At 37.4% G+C, this 9,741-nt stretch overlaps 1 protein-coding gene and 1 long non-coding RNA gene across 7 annotated transcripts in view; one reads left to right on the top strand and one right to left on the bottom strand.

The window, feature by feature from the left end:
* SEM1 (SEM1 26S proteasome subunit) overlaps positions 1-9,741 on the top strand; it is a 228,221-nt gene that overhangs the window by 200,618 nt on the left and 17,862 nt on the right. For 4 of the 6 annotated variants that reach the window (NR_163951.1, NR_163953.1, NR_163950.1 and 1 more), the window contains one exon: positions 2,531-2,606. The gene's annotated coding sequence lies outside the window, so the exon portion shown is untranslated. Of the gene's footprint in view, positions 1-2,530; positions 2,607-5,705; positions 5,747-9,741 lie in introns of those variants that run through there. The other 2 variants (NR_163949.1, NR_163948.1) reach the window with 1 other exon arrangement.
* LOC105375411 (uncharacterized) overlaps positions 11-9,741 on the bottom strand; it is a 59,097-nt gene continuing 49,366 nt past the window's right edge. Inside the window, exons 3-4 of the long non-coding RNA XR_927780.2 lie at positions 5,036-5,133; positions 11-41 (exon numbers count right to left, since the gene is read on the bottom strand). This is a non-coding gene — a long non-coding RNA (uncharacterized LOC105375411). The remainder of the gene's footprint in view (positions 42-5,035; positions 5,134-9,741) is intronic.

The following is a 9,741-nucleotide window of genomic DNA, read 5'->3' as shown; positions in this document are numbered from 1 at the left end:
TTTAAGATCAGCCTGGTGAACCTGGAGAAACCCTGTCTCTACTGAAAAATACCAAAAAAAAAAAAAAAAAAAAAATTAGCTGGACGTGGTGGTGCATGCCTGTAATCCCAGCTACTTGGGAGGCTGAGGCACGAGAATCACTTGAACCTGGGAGATGGAAGTTGCAGTGAGCTGAGATTGTGCCACTGCACTCCAGCCTGGGTGACAGAACAAGACTGTCAAAAAAAAAAAAAAAGTTGTGTTTCTTGTAGTAAAAATTGTCATTTAATTTAAAAATAGATTCATAATCAAATCACTACACTTTTTCAAATCCCACCTGATTTAGAGTTATCAAGTAAAGACGTATTACAGAATACATCTTTATTTAAAATAAATTTTCCCAGATTTTCCATGTGGCTTCCTGAAGATTCTCCACAGTAGCTCTACCTGGGAGCTTCCTCTTATATCTTGTAGTATTTGGAATGAGGGTGATTTTCTTTGACCACATTCTATATTGTATTTATCCACCTTATGCCACTAGCTCTGTAGCCAAAAAGTGAACATGGTATTAATGGGATGCAGTCCTATTGACAGTAATAACAGTGTGGATTGCTAACCACATGATAAGATCAAGATGCATATTTGAATTGGCTGTATTTATGTTCCAGATGCAAGATGATTATCTGACAGCAGAGGCAACATGATTTAATACATAAGGCCCAGGGCCAGGAATTGGGAAATCTGGGTTTTATTCTTGGCTTCATCACTTAGGCCATGTATACATGAGTGGAGTATTTTGTAATTGCACTGTTCTCGTTGACCCCAAACTGCTTCCTGCCCTGCCCTGCCACCAGAAGTGTTTTATTACATTGTTATGATATCATTGCTTCTCTTCTTTCCCTCTATTTCTCTTATCTTTCCTCATCTTCCCTATTTCTTAATAAATTGTACTAAATTTGTATCATATGAGCAATACATAAATACATTTTATTATTTTTCAAAAACTTACAGAGAATATTGATTCCCCCTGAATCTCCACTCTTCCATTTCTAAGCAGCTCTCATTCTCTTGTTCCTAATCTTGTTCTTTTTCCTATCTGCTTTTATTTCATTGATTTTCTGATTGTAGAGACTCACCCCATTTCTACACTACCCTCTTTTTCATACCTACACCAGCTTGAGTTTCATATAAGATATTCCCAATATAATATATTCCTCTAAAATACACTAAGGCAAGGGGAGAAATATGCGAAGGGTGATAGAGAACACAAAAAGCAAACTAGGAAACAGAATGGAAAACTGGAAGAGTCCCAGGGATCTGTGGGATTGGATTCTGGGTGAACTGAAAACTGCTCTCAATGCATCCCATCCTATCAAGTAGGTAGTCAGCAGAATTTTCTGTTGACAATTCTGAGACGCCCTCTCAAGGAAACTTGTGATTTCCTTGAGAATCAGAGATCTTTGCATTTCTGGGTTGCTGTCATCCCCACTTTCATCAAAGAGATGCCCAGGTTGATTTCACATCCATGGGGACACTCTTCTGCCTCATCTAACCTCACCAGGAGGAAGAGGATAATAGGGAATGAAGAAGGTAAATCCACAATTAAAAGTGCCAGAAGACTAGGGATAGTAGCCATCATCCACAGCATTCTTCCCCCTTAGAAAGAGCATCACTGAAGAGGTCCAGCACTGGGCTGAAAGGGACTAAGAATGGTCATCTTGCCTGGGTAAATCTTAATTTTTTCCTAGGTCATGTAGGCAAAGAGGCTGAAAGGAGAAGGTTGGAGACTGGTTATGTTGGCCAGAATGTGCTGTTTGGGGTTGTGCTTTTCGTTCCTTTTGTGTTGCAGTAGTTATATGCTGAGTGATTCAGGATAGAGTTAGCATTTAGTAATTTTTACAGCAATAAAATATTATTGGCAAAAATAAAGACCCATGTTTCCTTGACCTGAATACTGCCGCAAAACTCAGGCAGTTTAGTAATTCTCAACTATATGGATATATACATACACACACATTTGAAAACATTATATATATTCTTTACCTTAAAAAATGGAGCAGGCAGGTGGCTGAAAGCTTAATATTACTGCTTTGCCACATACCACATAGGTTAATAAGTCAAACTGCTTCCTGTATTTCATATATTCAGAGGCTTTCATACTTTTTCTGTTGTCTTTTCCTCTAATTTTTTTTAATAAAGAGATAAAGTATTACAGGTGTAATTAAGTCCTTTTGGCACCATTCCCTGATCTCATTTCTTTCTCTTCCTATCTCTTTCCTAAGAGGTAACCAGCAGTCCAAAGTTGTGCATCTTTCCTGTTCATATTCTAAGTTTTAATTGCATCTGTGTGCATCCTGAACTAATATACAATACTGTTGAGTATTTTAAAATTTATAAGTATTGATTTATTCCATATATATCTTTCTTAAATGTGACCTTTGTACTCAACATTGTTCTTGAATTTTTATCACATATTTGTACCACTTCTCAATACTTGCAATTATATGTGCAAGTTCCTAATTCCCTTGTCATTGCTTCTATCTAATTGCAGATCCCAAAATGGGTAGGCTCTGTTTGACCTTGTGGAATTGTTGAAGATGCAGTTCTCAACAGCATCACTAGATGTTGTAAGTATATTAAATAAATTTAATAAGTGGGATCCATAACCTGATAATAGCATTTGTAATAACTTATAGGACTGGACCATCCTCTGACATTTAAATTTTGGAGTTTCCTTAGGTGACATTTTGAAGTTTTCTAACAGTAAGTCTAGAATATAATGATCATATAAAATTTGACATATATAATAACCAAGAAAAGGCCATAATATTTTAATTACATCACAGAAAAGATAGGTGTGTCTTATCATTTAAACAGTACTCCAAACATATTCTTACCAATTAATTTATTAGAATGTTAAAAGCCCATATCCAGACTTGGCTCAATCAATGAACACATCCAGAAGTAAGATTAATGTGTCCATATAAAATTTCCCTCTGAAAAGAACCAGAGGTCTTCGGAGAAGTGGCTGATTCTGTGACAAGAAATATACAAGATGATCTGGGAACATCTTGTCCTACAGATATCAAGTAAACTATCAAAAGACTTCTATGGTCATTTCAAAAGGACTCAGGAACCAAAATAAAGAGGCTCCAACTGACCAGAAATAGATTAAGTAGTGCGTCAATTCAGATAAAAACTGCAATGGATTAAAACTGATCAAATACATTTAAATCCATGGTCACCTTTGGAGAATGCAAGACATTGACAACTCATAATTTTGAAAATAGGTAAACAAACAGAAAGAATCAAGTATTTATCCCAGGTTCCCTATATATTATATGCCAATGGGTAACTGCTATGGTCTCAATGTTTGTGTCCCCCTAGAATTCACAGGTTGAAATCCTAATTCCCAAGGTGATGGTGTTAAGAGGTGAGGGTTTTGCGAGGTGGTTAGGTTAAGAAGCCTCCACCCTCAAGAGTTTGGATTAGTGCCCTTATAAGAGACCACAGAAAGACTCCTCTCCTTTTCTACTATGTGGACCCTCGCCAAACATTGAATTTTCTGATACTCTCGTCTTGGACTTCCCAGCCACCAGAAATGTGAGAAATCAATTTCTGTTGTTTATAATCCACCCAGTATATGGTATTTTGTTATAGCAGCCAAAACAGACTAAAATAGCAACAAAATAGGAAATGCAAGAAAATAGCTCTTTGAGTAAGTGTTATAGCTAATAAATAAAGAAGAGATGATAGAATTATAATAGTACTATTTTGCAACCTTTCATGAACTAATGGATTAACAATAGCTGCTAACATCTCACAATTAGAGATAACTCCTTATAAGGCCAGGCACAGTGGCTCACACCTGTAGTCCCAAAACTCTGGGAGGCTGAGGTGGGTGGATCACCTGAGGTCAGGAATTCAAGATTAGCCTGGCCAACATGGTGAAACCCTGTCTCTAATAAAAATACAAAAAAATTAGCTGGGCGTGGTGGTGTGCATCTGTAATCCCAGCTACTTGGGAGGCTGAGGCAGAAGAATCTCTTCAACCTGGGAGGCGAGGTTGCAGTGAGCTGAGATGGCACCACTGCACTCCAGCCTGGGGGACAGAGTGAGACTCTGTCTCAAAATAAATAAATAAATAAATAGATAGATAACTCCTGATAGAAATACAAACCACCACTTTGATGAAATAGCCTCAACAAACAAATCAAACTTAAATCCAAGAAAGCTAGATCCAGCTAATAATTTATGGGAAATACAGTCAGAAGAAAAGCATATGCAAGAAATATACTAAGCTACACCATGGGGATGCAACCAGCAAAACCCCAACTCAAGGAGATTCTATAGGAAAAACAACCTTGTGTCTTCAACAAGTAAATTACAAGCAGAAAGAAAGGAGAGAGAATTCATAGATTAAAAGTGACTTCAGAAACATACCAAGAAATCATAACATGGAAATTTTACTTGAATTCTGATATAATCAAATGAACCATTAAAACACTTTAATAACATTTATAAGATCATTGGAAATATGAACACTGTATGATGATATGAGGAATTGCTCGATGTTTTTAGGTTTGAAAATGGTACTGTAGCTTTTCTTATAATTTGCATGATTTCTTATGTAAATAAGGTATTTATAAATGAATTAGTATATAGGTTTTGATTCAAGATAATAAGGAAAGAACGTATGTCATACTTCAGTAACTAACTGATGAAATAATATGAGGAGAGGTATAGATGTAAATGAAATCAAATTGGCCATAAGCTGGTAATTGTTGAATCAGTTCATGAGCTCATGGGGATTTGTTATACTATTTTATATGTTTGAAATTTTCCATATTAAAAAGTTTTTGAAAAAACCTAACTGGGGAAAAATAAAGTGGGGAAGAGGAATTTAGACACCAAGCTTTGCTTAGGAGTCTCTGCTTGTAGTTTTTCTAAGACAAGAGTTCCAGATTCTGTAAGAAAAGGGGTCACTTTAGGAAAGGATATGATGTGAAAACCATAAAAATAAATTCCAGAAACTGTACTTGTTCAAACAACATACCTGTGAGGTTTGGACCCCACGGGGTGCTGAGATGGACTTCAGAAAGTCTTCAAATTCCCTGAAGTTGTACTCAAGATATTCTCCATATGCGCATATTTCTAAAAAGAAAGTGCAAAGCTTCATCAGACCCTTAAAGGGAACCCTTTCCTCCTGAACTTTTAAGAACTACTACCTGCAGCAGGGAAATGAAAACAGAAAGGATTTATACCCATGGGTTCCATGGCCAACCCAATAGGAAGTGAGCAGCTGTGAGCACTGCAGGATCTCTGTGAACTGGATACTTGGGCAGTACCACAGTATCTGGGTTGTATCTGTGGTCAGTCATCCCTTACTCTTCTAGCTGAAGAAAAGGTCATGGTGAACCCTGACCCCATGCACTTTACCAACAACTAATGTCAGAGCTCATGCAGCTGTAACGGCAGCAATCCTCAGTTTAGGGAATTTTCAAGTCAGCACTTTCTGTTCAGAATATCTATTGGCCCTGGAATTTTCTAATGCTTCATAAAGGCCCTGTCATTAAGGGTCCTTCTGATGCTGAAAATAAATGAGGCTAAGGTGTAGGAAACCCTGTGTTATTTCAGCACACCAGATATCTAAGAGAAGATGAAATATAAACTTCCAGGGACATTGATTAGCTTCTCTCAATGATTTATTCGTCTCAGTGACTTACGCAATTCACGATATGCAGTCTCCGAGATGAAAACAAAAGTGGTGAGTTTTCCTAGACTAATCCTTTTTCTCCTACAAAAGGTAATCAGGGCTTTTTGCCTGCTGAGAAAAAAGTTGTAGTGGTGACTTGGGCAACCAGCAAGAAGAGGCTTTCAGAATAGCAAGCAGGTTTTTACTTTCAAGTCTGTGCTATTATATTCAAAAAGACAGAGTTCCAGAGCTCTCAGATGCCAAATGCTCATTGCTCAAGAATAATAATAACTATAAAACAGAACAGCATATAGATTGATAGGTCCTTGGAGGTTATAATGGGGATCAAAGAGTTTAACAACTCACTAAATAGGCATGTTTTTAACAACCGAGCTGATCATAGCCATTTTGGAGAGCCTGCATGTCTAAAGATAAGCTTATGCTTCTAGTAGAGAAATAATGACCAGTGTATTCTGTTGCTGACCATCCAGGGTTATTTTATTCAGCATTTGATCAATGCTTGGGTGTTAGAAGACCTTGCCAATCATTATTTAAGGGAATCAGCACTGCTGGGTCTTAGATTGGCCTGATAAAGGGAGAGACCCCTAGAGAAACTGTGAGATCCAAGCCATTTCTCAGACTGAAACAGAATTAATCACCTATTATAGAATGCCTCTTATGGTGAAGTTGCATAACTTGTCCACATTCATTTGGCCCCTACCTCAGAACAAGATGGCCAGTGCCAAGCACAATGCCTTACATGTAGAAGGAACTCAAACATGTGTTGAATGAATTACTGCAGCGTATCAGTGAATTTGAGCATGAAATCGTTGGCTAGAGAAATTTTTCTATTCTGGAATTTACTCTTTCATCAGAAAATAAAGGAATGGAGAATGTATTAGGCTATTTTGACATAACCCAAATAATAGTAGCTTGTGTTTTTGAACATTTACTGTAAATTGGGGAGTATTATAAACATTTTACATGTGTTAATTCTCACAAGTTAGTGAGATAGGTGTCATTACCCATTTTTACAAATAGAAAACTGAGGCACAGAGAATTAAATTTATATGCTGTAAGTCTTATAACTGGTAAGTGGTACAGCCTGGAATCAAACCTAGTCTGACTCACACCAGGATCGGCAGTCTTTACCAGTGTTTCAGACTGCCACTACCTATCCACAGCAAATGAACAAAGGCCTTGTTTAAAGATCTACATTACTTTGAGAGGATCTTACAAAGAAAATTTTCAGTGTGATAAAGATGCCATATACTACAGTGGTATAGAGCCTAGGCCCCAGAATCAGGATTTGATTTATGGCTCTACTAATGATCCTAAGCAGGTTAACCTCTCTAAGCTTACTTTAAACTGGAGATAATAGTACTTGCCTCAGAGAGCATTTCTGAAAATTAAATAAAATAGTCCACATAGGACTGGATAAAGAAAATATGGCACATGTACATCATGGGAATACTCTGCAGCCATTAAAAAGAATGAAATTTTGTCCTTTGCAGCAACATGAATGCAGTTGGAGGCCATTATCCTAAGTAAATTGACACAGGAACAGAAAACAAAATTCCACATGTTCTCACTTGTAAGTGGGACCTAAACATTGGGTACTCATGGATATAAAGATGGGTTATAACAACAGACACTTTGGACTACTAGAAGTGGGAGGGAGGGGGATGGTCAGGGTTGAAAAACTAACTATTGGGTACTACATTCAGTACCTGGGTGATGGGATTAATTGTACCCCAAACATCGGCATTATGCAAACCTGCACAAGTACCACCTGAATCTAAAGTAAAAGTTGAAATTATTAAAAAATAATAATAATTCACATAAAGCACTTAGTATGTTTTGCACACATAATAATGATAATACTAACATGTTTACTGAGCTATTATGTACTTACTAAACATCCAATAAATTTTAGTTAACATAGTTCAGTGTGCTCAATGACAGGTTGAAGTCCACCACATTTGGATGGTTTTTAGTCTTTCCTAACATTAAGGCATGTACTTATCATCATTGAATTCAATAACTTTGTGGAACAATCTTCATTAGCCTCAAGTTAATGATTAATCAAAAAAGATTGGGTTTTTTTGTGTGTGTGTGAAAGGTCTATATACTACTAAGATGCCCTAAATCAGAGAGTTGAAGAAGGCTAGCCAATTATATGTTGCTCAGATCCACTCCCTGCTAAGTAGGAGTTAATATTACTAAAGGTCAGTGAGAAAACATTTTAAAACCTGCCTTGACCATTTATTTCCATATAGAGAAGTGGACTTAACATCAACTCTGGATGTCATCGTAGCTTTCAGACCTACTGAGACTTCTGTGGCAAGGCAGGATGGAGAAAAGAGTAAACCAGGACTAGAGGGGACAGATGAGCTCTACCCACTAACTGAGAATCTTGGCCATTACTTAGAACGTGCAGAGGGTTAACAGTGACCTTAGGTCTGATTCCAACTTGTCACGATATTGAAGAAGTCTGATCTCATGGCAGGAGCACCACAATAGTCTTTAGGCAGTAACATCTTGGTTCTTTGGGATTTCATAATAAGAGGCAGACTTTTTTCACAAAATCCAGTTGTAGCTAGGTATAAATCTGTGGCAAAAGGAGTAAGAACAAGATCCAGATTTTGAAGGAAAGTTGGTAAGAGCTAGAAAGGTTTTCAGGACCACAGCCAAATGTAGTCCAGGCCTGGCAGGGACCTGGAAGGAGTGAAATCCAGGAGCCAAGATGAAAATCTAACCTCCTCTCCAGGAACATGTGCTACAGGATACGAGAAGAAGCTGCAGCAAAGATAATCATGAAGTGCTTTTTGAGAATTAAGTAGAAACTAAAGCAGTATAAGGAAGCACAGATAAGTTAGAATAGCAGTGGTGAAGACCTCAAATCCCTTCATGCATTAAAGCTGAGATCTCTAAACTGGAATCCATTTACGGAGTTCAGAGGTCCCCCTGGAATATGCACAAAATATTCTTAGGTGGACACATATGTGCAGTTTTCTGGGAGGAAAGTTCATAGCTTTCATCTGATTCTCAAAGTAGTTTGTGATCCAAAAAATGTATGACGACTGGCCTGAGTGAAGTTCATATAGACTTGATTATTTGGTAGTTACATTCGTGAGACATATTTCCTTAACGTTTGAACTCATAAAAAAACACAGGTAGTAAGTAGTGAAATCACAGCATTTTCACAGGTTGCTGTTCTTCATATCCAAAGAGGACCCACTTGGCCCAGAGAGCCACCTGCCTTCGATGCGGCCACCAAGAAAGACTAAGGCCTGATCAGCAGGCCAGTGTCCCCTTTGCTGACACTGTATTCTCAAGACTGCCCTGGGTGTGTGGCTTCACCTCTCTCTTTTTAGTCCAGTGTTGTTTGTATCATGGAGACTAAAATGTATCTATGGAAAGGGTTCTTAAACTCCTATTTGCAAAGGGGTGCCAGACTGACAAGGTTTTTCATGGTTCATGTAAAAATGAGAAGAACAGGGAAAATTAAATGAATTTTCTTTCACAAAACTAAATCTATTCAATTTAAGTAACTATCCTTTATTCTGATAAGGTCAAAAAATTATACCCTTACTAATTATTTGATGTTAAACAAAATATGTGTTGATGGTGATATTTGATGGTGGTTTTGTTCTTTGATTTTTATTCTACTTGATCTATGTTGGTCTCCAATTTAAAACAAAACAAAAAACGTTTTTCTAGCCCATGAAATCAAAATTGTAGGAATTGTTTCCTGATATACTCAACAGCAATGCATCTAGCCTACAAGTGACTGCCACAATCCGATCAAATGTTTGTTTTTCCACTCTATGCCTAGTGACTACTCATGTGACTGATTTTCTGTGGTGGAGTTGGAACAAAAATAGGCACAACTGACTTGTTTATTTGTTAAGTACATGCCTGGCTTAGACAATGAGGATAGCATCAGGACTTAGTAGTTCCATCTTTAACTTAGAATGTGCACAGCATCACATTTAGTAAATGCTCGTTGAAATAAAATTGACTCGCTTTGTTCAAGACACATAAGGAACCCTCATGCAGTTCCC

This window comes from Homo sapiens, chromosome 7, assembly GCF_000001405.40.
Source record: "Homo sapiens chromosome 7, GRCh38.p14 Primary Assembly".
Taxonomy (NCBI): domain Eukaryota; kingdom Metazoa; phylum Chordata; class Mammalia; order Primates; family Hominidae; genus Homo; species Homo sapiens.
This window is presented reverse-complemented; position numbering and strand designations above follow the sequence as displayed.